At 42.7% G+C, this 14,748-nt stretch overlaps 1 annotated feature.

Moving 5' to 3' along the window:
• Window positions 12,878–13,377: an enhancer, noted in NCBI's record as "H3K4me1 hESC enhancer chr3:187352529-187353028 (GRCh37/hg19 assembly coordinates)". NCBI's record gives its function as "activates a minimal SCP1, AML or CMV promoter by ChIP-STARR-seq in primed H9 embryonic stem cells {active_cell/tissue: H9 hESC(primed)}" and the evidence as "EXISTENCE:reporter gene assay evidence [ECO:0000049][PMID:30033119]".

The following is a 14,748-nucleotide window of genomic DNA, read 5'->3' on the forward strand; positions in this document are numbered from 1 at the left end:
CAACAAATCACACATATTAACATGGAGTATTCTTCTCAAACAACATGAAATGATTTTTAAAAGTTCCTAACTTGGAGACTGGACCTTGGCTCCAGTCCTGAATTTTCCATCAAATGCCTATAGGAACCTGATCAAAGTCACTTTCTGTTTCAAGGCATTGGGCATCCTCCATTGCAACGTGACTGTTGGACAAGAGGTTCTTTTAAGCTCAGCAACGCAAGATCACAAGACTAATTGTCTTTGCTGCTAGCCATGGGAAGGCTGGAAGACAAGGAGCTTGGAATAACAAGCTTATCCAGGGGCTAAACAGAGAAAGCCAGGCTTAGCAATATCATATTGACATTCTTTACCAGCCTTGAATCCATTTGAGTTTGGGAGGTAAGAAGTAGCCCAGAAACAATGCAATGAGAAATTAGCCTCTCTTCTTAAGTCCTAAATGGTCATATGCCTTTGAGCTCCATTGCCCAGTCTCAGGTTGGCACTGTCTTCTGTCAGTAGCTATAGTATTTCCCCTACCACAACCCATCTCTATTTCCCATCACTGACAGCCCCATCCTCCATCTCCCTAGACAGATCTCCCTGCTTATGTTCCTACCATTTCTTGTCTGACAATCAATTTTCCTATCTGTCATTATCAATTCTGTTCATTAACTCTCCCACGTGTCTTAGCTGAGGCCTCCCGACACCAAAAAGCATCTCAAAAAAAAAAAAAAAATGACAATGTTCCCAAACAGAATAATTGAAACTTCTTGCACATCTAGAGAGACTTCTGTCTGAAACCCTCAGAGCCATTTTTTAAATGTCAGTAGAAATGTACATTTTATACTAGGGAGGCAGACTTCACCATTCTAGCACAACCAAATGAAAAGTAAAGCAGAAACCAAAAAACATTCAGCAACTACTTTTTTCTTTGTGGTTCACAGAATGCAAAACTGGTCTGACCATTTTTTTTTAAGTTTAGTTGACTTGTTAATTGCCTGTAGTTCTTTTAAACATGGCCTAAGAAACGGTTACTACAGGAATAATACTGTGAAGAAGGTGAAAATGCTAGAGAGACCGTCTTGTGCCTTTCTCCGAGGAGTTCCGTGAACTGCTCAGTTGCTAAGACTTGATAGGAACTTGTAGAAAGACTTCTGTAGCACTACAAGGCAGTAATACATATTGATGAAAAATCTCTGTTATCAGGCTATCTGTATTTAAGAGTTATAATAACAACAGCTATTCTTAGACAATTCTTTACCATTTATAAGGTATTTTCACACATATCACATCACTTTGCATTTACTGTTTCCCCTATCCTGAACATTCCTCCCTCAGATATCTACCTGGCTTGCTCCCTCACCTACTTCAGAACTGTGTTCAAATGTTATCTTTCCTATTGGCCTAAAGGAAAATTGCAACTGTGCCCACCTCCCCTGAAACTCCCTGTCCGCTTCCCATGATATGCTTCTCCACAGCACTCCTCACTGTCTGACTTGCTATACATTTTACTTGTAGAATGTGAGCTCCCTAGGGAATGAGATCTTTGTATTTTCATGGCTATATTCCCAGTGCCTGGAACACAGTAGTTGCTCAGTTAAGACCTTTTGAGGGAATAAAAGAATACATTGTGAATGCGATTCTCCCCACAGCCTTGAGGAGCAGGAGGCATCATTATTACTATTTTGCAGATGAAGCAACTGAAACTCAGAAGGCTAAGTGGTCAGACCACATGGATGAGAGGGGCAGACCCAGATGACCTCACACTGGCTCACTCTGTGCTCTCCAGAGACACATCTCGGAAACAGACACTTTAACAAGTGCACCCTCCCACTCAGGAAGGAGTGTCCAAGTCAGACGAGTGCTGAGAGCTATAATGCTCAGCCCTGTGCCTGCACCCCTGCATTGGCCCTCTCTTGGCACCTGCCTTACCCACCCTCCAGGGAGTGCGTTCCCAGGCACCCACTGTATTTGATGAGCACCTGCAGGTCTAATTATCCCATTAAGGTAGGATAAACAAAGAAAAAGGAAGGAAGAAATAATTACAAAACAAGCAAACCTGAATGGTCAACACATCAACACAGTAATTACATTTCTCCAAAAAGAAAAAGACAGGAACTAAGCTTTTCCACCTAACTCTTTTTGCTTTCGAATGGAAGCCTCCTCTCTCAGCTGCAGATTACACGGGCTGGCAGCTTTCCCACCCTCACCATGCTCCTTGTTGCCTCTATTGACAGAGGTGAGCCATTACTCTTCACTAAAATTCAGTGTCCACACATTCGCCCCTTGACAACACTCTGGAAATTGATCTCTTCAAATATCTTTGGAACTAAATTAAGGCAATTTGTTCTTTCCCTGATCCACATGGTTGTCCTCTGGGACAGAATCATTGCTAAAAGGATGATCATGATTTTTTGAAAAGGGAGGGAAGTCTTCCGGGAAGGAGGCAATCCAAAATCTTGGTAATATTGAGTATAAGTGATTTTAAAAATCAAATACCATTAATACTGCTATACTGCTTACAAAGAACATTCACATCCATTATCTATAGGATTTAAGCTTTGTGCTACTCTATGAAGAAATTGAGAAATACCTGACTTTCCATTTTATAGGTGGCAAAACTAGGGAAATGACTTACCAAAGTTCACATCCCTGTAAGTGAAAGAGCAACAAATACTCGAATCCAAGTTTTCTGACTCTAAGTGGAAAGCTTTATGCCACAAATATGGTATGTGTGTGTATATGTGTGTAGAGAGAAAGAGAGACTGATTCTATTTTCACCCTGCACCTTCCAAATTGTCTTTTCTGGGCACCTCACTCGGCTTCCCTGTCCTCAGATGTATTTTCCTGCATCAGAGAGCACTCTGGCAGTCCCCAGACTGGCTGTGCTCAGAGGTTAGCATTTTACATTCCACAAGTATTTGGCTTGCTTTAAGAGCATGGACTTCTGAGTCAGACAGACCTGAGTTCCAGCAGGGATAGATTGCACCGATCCTCAACATCTCCACTCACCTCACAGCATTGTTGACAAAATTGTATGAAAAGACGCCATGTGGTATCCATCACAGCTCATGGCACACCGAAAATGCTCAGTAAATGAGAGCAATTCTTGTTGAGTACCCTGTTCACTTCTGTATCACATCTGAGAGGTGGGGGTCCAGGCTCTTATCTTATCTTACATTATTGCTCAAAGCCTTCGCCAGAGTCACTCTCTGGGCATGAGCGTGCATGGAAGCAGTGATATCCTCTAATTTGAAAAGTTCTGGGTGCTGAACAGTAGCAAAGACAGCAGCAGGAATTCCTATTTTCTGAACATTTAGTGTTCTCCATGAATAATTGTCATTAATGTCGTCAGCCGCCCTACCATTAATCCCATTTTAGAAGTATTAACACCATTCATTGTGTCCATAGACCTGCTAAACACTGAATATTTGTGTCACTGCAAAATTCATATGTTGAAACCCAACCCCCAAGGTGATGGCATTTGGAGGCAGGGCCTTGGAGAGGTGATTAGGTCAGGTTAGAGGCCCTCATAAATGAGATTAGTGCTCTTGTAAAAAGGACCCCAGAGAGCTCATTTGCCCCCTTCAGCCATGTGAGAACATAGTAAAAATATGGTGTGATATTATGAGATTGTATATGTGTGTGTGTGTGTGTGTGTGTGTGTGTGTGTGTTTTCATCCACAGTTCCCAGTTTATCACTCCCATAGCCCTTATTACAGTCTTTTGTTATAATGCTGGGGCACTTTAGGTGTCAGAAAGCAGAAGCTCTCTCTCACTGACCTTTCTCCTGCCGTTTTTTCACCTGCTTCTTTTTCTCCTCAAGGCAGGATTTAGAAACTAAAAATACACTCTAATCTTCCCCCACCTCTGGTCATAAAGAAATTTTCTGACCCACCTTGTCTGATTGTAGATCATAAGACCTCTGCTTCCAAAGAGGTTCAGCCTCGTACCCTGGGGAAGGAACACTGCACAGAGAGGCCAAAAAGAATTTGAACAGGCAGGACTTGCTGGGGATCCCTGCTCAGTTATTAGTATTAGATTATACTCTTCTTGTCCAATCACATTTCCACATGGCTGTCAATCAAGCCTATCCAATGAAGTCTCCATAAAAGGCCCAAAAGGACAGAATTCAGAGAGCCTCCAGATAGCTGAACACGTAGAGGTCCCTGGAGGGTGGTGCACCCAGGAATGTCATGGGAGCTCTATGCCCATTCCCATACCTCACCTTATGCATCTCTTTATTTGTATCCTTTGTAATATTCTTTATAATAAACCATTAAGCATAAGTAAGTGTTTCCCTGAGTTCTGTGAACTGCTCTAACAAATTTATAGAACCCAAGGAGGTGGGTAATGAGATCCCTGATTTATATCTGGTTGGTCAGAAGCACAGGTAAAGCAGCCTGAGGCGCAGTGGCTCTCACCTGTAATCCCAGCACTTTGAGAGGCCAAGGCAGGTGGATCACTCGCGATCAGGAGTCTGAAACCACCCTGGCCAACAGGGTGAAACCCCATCTCTACTAAAAATACAAAAATTAGCCAGGCATGGTGATGGCTGCCTGTAATCCCAGCTACTCAGGAGGCTGAGGCAGGAGAATTGCTTGAGCCCAGGAGGTGGAGGTTGCAGTGAGCAGAGATTGCACCATTGCACTCCAGCCTGGGTGACAGAGCGAGACTCCACCTCAAAAAAAAAAAAAAAAAAAAAAAAAAAAGTAGGGGACAGTCTTGGGGACTGAGCCTTCAACTTGAAAGGGCTCAGTAGATAGCCCTGCAGGTAGATAGTGTAAGAACTGAATTGAATTGAATTGAATAAGACACCCAGCTGGCATCCACTACAGAATTGAATGCTTGCTTGATGGTAGAGAGAAAATCCCTAAACATTTAGTCACATAAGTCTTCTGTGTTGATTGTTGTGGCGTAAGAGCAGAGAAGAAACATTTTGTGTTTACTCCAATCTCAGATGGCCATCTGTGAACCAGGAAGCAGGCCTTGCCAGACACCAAACCAGCCAGTGCCTTGTTCTTGAACTTTCCAGCCTCCAGAACTCGGAGAAATAAGTTTCTGTTGTATATAAGCCACTCAGTAGTGTGGTATTTTGCTATAGCAGCCTGAAAAGACTAAGACAAGCCCTATGACATAAAGATGCAAAGAAAAACTTGGTAACTGAACAAAGGATGCAAACTGAGGGAGTCCACCTGTCAGAATGTAGGCTTTTAACCACTACACTATGCCATTTAAAGAGTGAGCAGGCCTTTTTGGAACACCTTGTCTTCTCCTGCAGCAGGACTGACCCCTTCCAAGTACCCTTTCCTACCTGGCAATTCCACTCTGGCCAGTCTGTGGCTCAAGCCACAACTAGAGTGTTAAACACAAAATTTAACACAAAATGTTAAAGCTAGACAAGCCCACAGATTTAGTCTTCTTACCTAGTAACTCCCTCATTTCTCAGATGAAATTGAGGCCCAGAAGGGAGGTGAGCTGCCTGAGGCCTCACAGTCTCATTCCATAACTGGAATGAAACTCAAAACTGTGAGTACATTGTGGGCTGTGGGAAGTTGTTGTACCGGCTGCCTGGCAGCTTGGCTGTGCCCCTCCATTACCTTCTCTGGCACAGCGTGCAGCTCCTCACCATCCCATCAGCATAGGCTGTGGTATGACTTGGTTTGTCATAATATTTTGTTTAAATTGTTTGATTTAAATGTAGATATAGATATATTTATATATAGGTATCGATATAGATAATCTGTGCTTTTTAACATAGGCAGCCACAAATCTTTTGGGAAAGTAGATAAAGAACAAATGAATGTGTAAATAAGCCAGGCAAGGTGGCTCACACCTGTAATCCTAGGACTTTGGGAGGCCAAGGCAGGTGAATCACCTGAGGTCAGGAGTTCGAGACCTGGCCAAAGTGGTGAAACCCTGTCTCTACTAAAAATACAAAAATTAGCCAGGTGTGGTGGCAGGTGCCTATAATCCCAACTACTCGGGAGGCTGAGGCAGGAGAATCGCTTGAACCTGGGGGACAGAGGTTGCAGTGAGCCGAGATCATGCCACCTCACTCCAGCCTGGGTGAAAGAGCGAAACTCTGTCTCAAACAAACAAACAAACAACAACAACAACAAAAAACCCAAAAAAACTGTAAATAAGTAGATCAGTGACAACTTAGCATCCTTTTCATCATTCTTTCTGAAAATTTTGGAAATTCTGAAGTAGGTAAGTGCAGGGAAGAAAAGCAAATTTAGCAGTGAGTATGGCTCGTAAATTACTTTACTAAAGGGAAGAAATCATAAGAAATTTGGGGCTATTTCTTCTCAATGTAGAACAAGAGAATGTCAAAATAGTGCTGCCTGCTGAATGTTGAAAAGCAAAAGCACCGAGCCACTAAGTCAGAATGACAGTGCCGTGTGTTGAGAGTGGATCATTTCATGTGCTTAAGTACTTAGAAACCTGATCCTCAACCACAGTCCCCACTGTGCTTTCCCTCCCATCTGCATTCTTTCTGGTCCCCTAACTTGATGAACTAGGACATTTGCATGAGCATTTGTCTGAGGATTTTAGCCCGAGCTGTTCCATCATTCTGAAACATTCTTTCTGTGTATCTCTGCATGGCTGGTTCCCACTGGTCATCTGCAGCTCAGCTTATGTTTGACTTCCTCATAGAGGCTGTCTCTGGCCACCCTATTAACTTCTCTTACCACTGCTGCAAAGCACCTTGAGTTATTCCCATCATAACACTTATCGCTACCTGTTCTCTTCCACACTTGATAATTGTCTCTTCCTCACTAAAATGCTCATTGAGGACAGGGAACTTTTCTATCATATTCACCACTATTTTCCCAGTGCCTAAACCAGTACACAAGAAATAACTGTTAAATGAAGATAAATAATATCAACAAATACCTTATATTCTAAATCAAGGGCCTAATTCACAAACTGGCCAAAAACCATCTATCGATCAATATTTACTTAACAGTCAATGTGTGCTGGGTGCATTTTATGAACTGGATGGGGGTGGGGTAGATGGGGTAGATGCAGAGATGAATATGATTAGTCTCTAACCTCAAGCAGTTGATGTCCTGGTTGGAGAGTTAAGACATATACTTCTAAAATAAAACATATGCTTCTAAAAATAAAACTTCAGTAACATAGCCAGTACTCAAGGACAAGTAAATGGTTCAGAAGGCAAAGGTATTGAAGAATAAATACAAACGATTGAAGGCTAAATACAAAGGAAGACACATAGAAGGCACAATGTCTGTCAAATCCACAACACATAAATGGAAGTGAGAGAGACCAGAAGCAGCCTCCCAGTCTCCCTGGCCAGGGCCTTTCGATGACATTGCAGGCTTCCCTTGTGCCCCTGTGACTCGAAGTGATGTGGAGTTGGAGAGCTTGACTCTCAACCTGGCACCTAGAGAAGAGCCCACACTTGTCCAATGTTCTCTCTGTGAACCGTGTTATACTAGTTTACACATGTCATCTCAGTTACTCCTCACTACAACCCTGACTACAGCAAGGTGTTACAATTCTCATGTTAGATTAATACAAATGGAGGCCCTAAGGTGAAAACTATTTCACCCAAAGTGACACAGTCAATGGAGCCCTGTATACCTGCCTCTATAGGATCTTACCCTTTCCCAGTTCACAATTCTGCCCCCTTGCTCAAAACTGAAGACACCTCCAAGCTCACACAACAATTAGGGATTCATCCCTAGGTCTGTTCAACTGAAAAGTGGGTGCTTTTCTAAAACCTGGCAGATAGGAACAAGGACTGAGCCCATCATTGCTCCTTTTGCCCCATTGCAGAAACAGAGCCCTTCAGAAGAGTCATATGTCAAAAGGTGAAAAGAATGGTGGTTAAAATGTGAAAATGCACTGCCTTGAAATTCATTTGGTGTTCCCACCCTTATTCTTGATGAAAGTATTCCCTCGTGACAAGTTCTTTAAAGAATTTCTCTCAACTCCATTATGCAGTGTGGAGTAATTGTATGTCATCAAAAGCCTAGGAATAGTCAAGATTGCAAAATTCTTGCTGTGCTCTTGGCAAAATCATTACTCACCAGCCAATGTTTAGAAATCAAAATGCTCCCCTTAAGTGCCATTAAACACAAATATTTATCAACGCTGCACCAGAATGTTAGGCTGACGAAGGTTGGATGTTTGTGGGTGTGCTTGCGTGTGCATAATTAGATTCAGGTTGTCAACAAGAACAAGCTGGCTTACTGAAGTTTATGTCTTTCAGACACCCACCTACAGGCAAATGGGAGGTTTTTGCTTATTTATATCTTAGAGAAATGTTAAAATTCTCAGAAGTATGCCCAAAGAAAACCAGGGGAATTTCTGTTTCACTGCTTTTTACAGGCATCATGAAAGGTACTGCCTATGGTAAAACAAATACCAAGACTGTCAGGAGAGATGAAAATGGACATCAAAAGCTAAATAATGATTCAGCATAGGGAATATGGATGGATAAATCATCATTAAAAACTCCTACTATAGTTTGAAGAAAATGAGGCTTTCAATCTCTGTCTTCAATTTTCCCTGTAGGTGGCTTCTAGAGTTAGTATCTACTAAAACAGGTTAGCACATGGCTTACTTAGGTCAAGATCCCTAGAAGCCAAATCTCAGATGGGATTCTCATTCTGGGGATTTACTAGGGGGAGTGCACCTGGGAGAAGGAAAGTAAAAGAAGTAGAATAAGTCAGAGGGGAAAAGCTCAGTCAGAGCCAATCCCACAGGAGCACAAATCACCCATAGTCAGTCCCACCCTGAGGCAAGGGAAGTAGCCCTTTGCACAATGGTCGTTGGCTGAGGCCTGTCCTGGAAAGGCTCCCATTTTTCAGAGAAGTGATGCAGGCCTGACACATCAACACTCACAGCACCTGGGAATGGGTACACAAATACTAAAGGGGCCTGAGTGAGGCACCGGCAGCATCCACCATGGTACACGTGACTCTTCTTATGAAACTTTTATTTCATTCTGCAGAATAAAGTGCAAACTTTTCAGCATGGAATCTGAAACCTTCTGTGTTCTAGCCTTAACTTCATGGCTCTGAAATAGATTTTCTAAAAATCTAAGACTACTTAATGTATTTGTGCAAATGTCTAAGTGTATGTGGAGCATACCATCAGAGAGGAGTCAGGGGACATCCACCCCTCCTTCTACCAATAGCTTCTCTGCCCTCAGAAGAAAGTTGATTCCTGAGCCTGCTTTTCTATGGATCCCAGACTAGCCCTCCAGCCTTGTCTCCTACCCCCTTTTTCCACACAGCTCAACCTTTGATAGTGCAATAAACTGTTAGTTATTTCTCAAAGATGCTGTGTTCTTTCACCTCTCCCAGACTTTGTGACACTTAGGATCAATAAGAGATGGACTAGCACAGAAAACTAAAATCCATTCCAACCATTCCTTAATGTGACCAGCATTATTGTCTGAAAGTACACTTTTAATGTTCTGGGGCCATTTTTAAAAACCTCTCATTTTCTCTGTAAAGCAAGGCCTAAATCCCTGGCGTGGAATGTCCTTTGCCTGTTTTTCTTCCTTCGTTCTCCAGTTCAAGTGGCACCTCTACTATGGAGCCCTCTCTACCACCCCAGCCTTTCTATCCCTTCACAGCCCTGCATTACCTTTTCCTAGCACTGCCATTATTCTGCTGTATAGAATGGTCTGTTGTGTAGGCATCTACCTCTACCAGCAGATTGTGAGGTTCCTGACGGCAATACCTTTCACAGCACCTAGCACCTCACTGGGTGCGAAGCAGGTGCCAGTGCAGACATATTAAGTGGAAGAAAATAATGCATCTCTAAGGAATAGTCTCCAGGGAGAGTCCTCACAGACACTGCGGGACTTCCATAGGAAACTCATTTAAAGGACTTTTAGACTAACAATATAAACAATTACAACAGATGCTAAGACTTATGGGACACTTATTATACCAGAATCTGCGTTTAACATTTTACATGAATTAACTGATTTTAATCTTATTAGGCAGGTACTAATTTTATTACCATTTTACAGAAGAGAAGACCATATTGTGAAAGGGAAATAAATCTCAGGACCCCAAAATCATGAAGCCAAAAGGAAAAGTCAAGCTGGGAACTGCATCAGGCAAACCTGCCTCCTATTTTAGTTCCAAGATAAGATAGTTACAAAGATTGCTTTAAAAGCTACATATCTCCCTCACAATTTGCCAACAGGCGATTTCTTGTGGGCCTCAAGACCTTCACCTTAAACCAATTCTGTTGAATTTCACCTTGGCTATGTAAATTGATAGCTTATCTTCACAGATGGAGTACAAAGGACACACAGAATCAAGGTCATTCCTCTGCTCACCTGAGACAAATGCATATCCAATTGCTTCTTCTGCCCTACTGCTTATGTAAAAATGCAGATTCACTGAGTCAGACTAAGGCATAAGTTCCTCTACCCCCACTCACATGTGAGTTGTGTCTTCAATGAAAGGCTGTAAAAGACCCAAAAGAATGCAACTTTTTGTCTCTTATCTACCTACTAGAAGCCCCCACTTCAAGTTGTCTTGACTTTCTGGGCCAAACCAATGTATGTCTTACACGTATTGACTGATGCCTCATGTCTCCTAAACTGTATAAAACCAAGCTGTGACCAAACCACCTTGGACACAGGTCATCAGGACCTCCTGAGGCAGTGTCAAGGGCATGTCCTTAACCTTAGCAAAACAACTTTCTAAGTTAATTGAGACCGGCCTCGGATATTTTTGGGTTCATAATATCAGGGAGGTTATGTAACTTGTTCAAGATCACATAGCTAGCAAGTGGGAGACCAGGGCATCAGAGCCAGAATGCCTGTAATCACGAAGTAACCAAATGAAGGAAGATTACTCATGCTCCTGTATTTCTGAACCATCGACCTGAGGGGCAGCACCATGATGAAAATCACAGTCATGGCACTTTTTGTGAGCAACAATTAAAAGCCCTGTGCCCATTCATTCCCTTTCTTTCAAAGGAAAATGGTTGGAATGGGAACAAAGAAAGTAGGTTCTTAAAGTATATTTTATGCTTATATATTTGTAAGTTGTTTTGTTTGTTTATTCAGAAAGGCTTTGAATTGGAGCCAGAAGAGTCCCTCTTTGAATCACAGTTTCCTGATTAGTAAAATAGACTTTTGCCTGTTCTATTTATTTCAGAATGCCTTTGCATGGATTCCCCACTCAGGTACAAGCTTCACAGAAGTGGAGATTTTACCCAACCTATTCATCACTGTTTCTTCATATTCCAACACAGTGCCAGACACATAATAGGCCTTGATAAACACTCATTGGCTGAATGAATAAAAAATGAGACACTAAGGGAATACAGTGTTTCTTTCTCAAAGGGTGGTTCAAGGACCACTCGCTCCAGGGTTATCTGGAGAGTTTGTTTAAAGTACAGATTCCTGGGCTAAAAGGGACTTCTTCACTTATTAATGTTTGAGAACTACTGATATAAATGTTATGTGAGTGTCTGCAAACTGTTCAATTTCACAATTTAATGAAATTAACTTCAAGTGAAGCTGTAATTATCATCTGATTCTGATAAAGAATGGAGAGGGAATCCTACTGTTTCTCTCCACTTTTCCTTTATTTACTTCCTCATTCTTTTATACTTTCCTTCCCTATATTAGTCCATTCTCACATTGCTATAAAGAAATATCTGAGACTAGATAATTTATAAAGAAAGAAGTTTCATTACTTAAGAGTTCCAAAGGCTGTACAGGATGCGAATTAGCTTCTGTTTCTGGGGAGGCCTGAGGAAGCTTCCAATCATGGCAGAAGGCAAAGGGGGAGCCAACACTTCACATGGCCAGAGCAGGAGAAAGACAGAGAGAGGGTAGAGGCGCCACACACTTTTAGACAATCAGATCTCATGAAAACTCTATCATGAGAACAGCACCAAAGGGGGAAATTCACCCCCATGATCCAGTCACCTCCCACCAGACCCCACCTTCAGCATTGGGGGTTACAATTCGACATGAGATTTGGGTGGGAACACTGATCCAGACCATATTATTCTGCCCTTGGCCCCTCCTGAATCTCATGTCCTTCTCACATTTCAAAATATAATTATGCCTTCCCAACAGTCCCCAAAACCTTAATTCATTCCAGCATTAACTCAAAAGTCCAAAATCCAAAGTCTCATCTAAGGCAAGGCAAGTCCCTTCTGCCTATGAGCCCATAAAACAAGTTAGTTAATCACAAAATAAAAAGGGGATACAGGTATTGGGTAAATACTGCCATTCCAAAAGGGAGAAATTAGTCAAAAGAAAGGGGTTACAGGCCCCACACAAGTCCAAAACTCAGCAGAGAAGTTATTAAATCTTAAAGCTCCAAAGTAATCTCCTTTGACTCCATATCCCACATCTGGGGCACACTGATGCAAGGGATGGGCTCCCAAGGCCTTGGGCAGCTCCACCCGTGCAGCTTTTCAGGGTTCAGTACCTGCAGCTGCTCTCAAATAACAGGTTATTTGAAATAACCAAAGTGCAAGCAATAGTATTTGAGATCACTGAAGTCGCCATTTTAATTGGGGAATTGAGTGCCTGTGACTTTTCCAGGTACAGGATGCAAGCTACTGGTAGATCTCTCATTCCAGGGTCTACAGGATGGTGATCCCCTTCTCACCGCTCCACTAGGCAGTGCACCAGTGGGGACTCTGTGTGGGGGCTTCAACCTCACATTTCCCCTCTGCACTACCCTGGTAGAGGTCCTCCATAAAGGCTCCACCGCTGCAGCAGGCCTCCTCTTGGACATCCAGGCTATTCCGTATTCTCTGAAATCTAGGTAGAGGCTCCCAAGCCTCAACTCTTGCACTCAGAGCAAGCTTACTGCCACACAGAAGCTGCCAAGGCTTCCAGCCTGCACCCTCTGAAGAAGCAGCCCAAGCTGTACCTGGGCCCCTTTGAGCCACAGCTGGAGCTGGAGTGGCTGAGATGTAGGGAGCAGTGCACTGAGGCTGCACGGGGCAGTGGGGCCCTGGGTTTAGTCCATGAAACCCTTCTTCCCTCCCAGGCTTCTGAGCCTGTGATGGGAGGGGCTGCTGCAAAGGTCTTTGAAATGTCTTTGGGGCCTTTTCCCCATTGTATTGGATATTAGTACTTGGTTCCTTACTTATGTAAATTTCTGCAGCCTGCTTGAATTCCTCTCCTGAAAACGGGCTTTTCTTTCTACTACATGGCCAGGCTGCAAATTTTCCAAACTTTTATGCTCTACTTCCCTTTTAAATATAAGTTCAAGTTTTAGGTCATTTCTTTGCTCATATATATGAGCAATTGTTTGTTAGAAGCAGCCAGGTCACATCTTGAATGTTTTGCTGCTTAGAAATTTCTTCTGCCAGATATCCTAAATAATCACTCTCAAGTTCAAAGTTCCACAGATCCCTAGAGCACAGGCCCAATGCAGCCAGACTTTGTGCTAAAGCATAGCAAAAGTGACCTTTAATCTAATTCCCAATAAGTTCTTCTTCTCCATCTGAGACCTCCTCAGGCTGGACTTCATTGTCCATAACACTATCAGCATTTTTGTCATAACCATTCAACATGTCTCTAGGAAGGTCAAACTTTCCCACATCTTCCTGTCTTTGAGAGCCCTCAAAACTCTTCTAACCTCTGCACATTACCCAGTTCCAAAGTTGCTTCCATATTTTCAGTTTTTTTTTTTTTTTTTGAGACAAGGTCTCTCTCTGTCGTGCAGGCTGGAGTGCAGTGGCATGATCTCAGCTCACTGCAACCCCCACCTCCCAGGCTCAAGATTCTTCCACCTCAGCCTCTGGAGTAGCTGGGACTACAGGAACATGCCACCACACCTGGCTAATTTTTTTTTTGTTGTTGTTGTTGAGATGGGGTTTTGCCAAGTTGCCCAGGCTGGTCTGAAACTCTTGAGTTCAGGTGATCCGCCCACCTCAGCCTCCCAAAATGCTAGGATTATAGGCGTGAGCCACTGTGCCTGGCCTCAGGTATATTTATAAAAATGCCCCACTCCTTGGTATCAATTTTCTGTATTAATCCATCCTCACACTGTTATAAAGAAATACCTGAGACTGGGTAATTAATAAGGAAAGGAGGTTTCATTGCCTCTGTGTCCCAAAGGCTGTACAGAAAGCGTAGTGGCTTCTGCTTCTGGGGAGGCTTCAGGAAGCTTCCAATCATGGCAGAAGGCAAATGGGGGAGCCAGCACTTCACATGGTCAGAGCAAGAGGAAGAGAGAGAAAGGGCAGAGGTGCCACACACTTTTAAACAATCAGATCTTCTGAAAACACAATTACAAAAACAGCACCAAAGGGGAAATATGCCCCCATTATCTAATCACCTCCCACCAGACCCCACCTCCAGCACTGGGGATTATCATTTGACATGAGATTTGGGCAGCAACACAGATCCAAACCATATTACTCACCTTTCCTCTCCTCCTCCATGGCTATTTATATTTTCTGGCTTAGAGCAAGGCCCAAGAGAACAACCATAAATGCTATCCTCTCTCTTGCCCCCAAGGATATCACAGTCCAACAGAAAAGAGGACAAAGTAATTTATATTTTGATATAATAAATTCTACAGCAGATATAAGCTAGGACATCACTTCTCCAAATTATCAGAGTGAAGAAGGTGGTTGCCACTTCGTATTGGGCTTCTTTACCTTAAGTGCCATCCTTGAAATGTTGAAGAACAAAGGAACCAAGGAGAAGAAATAATTTTAATCTTAAAGGTTTGGTTACTCTTTTCTTTAATAGTGTTCTTCTAATTCATAAATACCTTACTTTTT

The sequence above is a fragment of the Homo sapiens genome, chromosome 3, assembly GCF_000001405.40.
Source record: "Homo sapiens chromosome 3, GRCh38.p14 Primary Assembly".
NCBI classification, from domain to species: domain Eukaryota; kingdom Metazoa; phylum Chordata; class Mammalia; order Primates; family Hominidae; genus Homo; species Homo sapiens.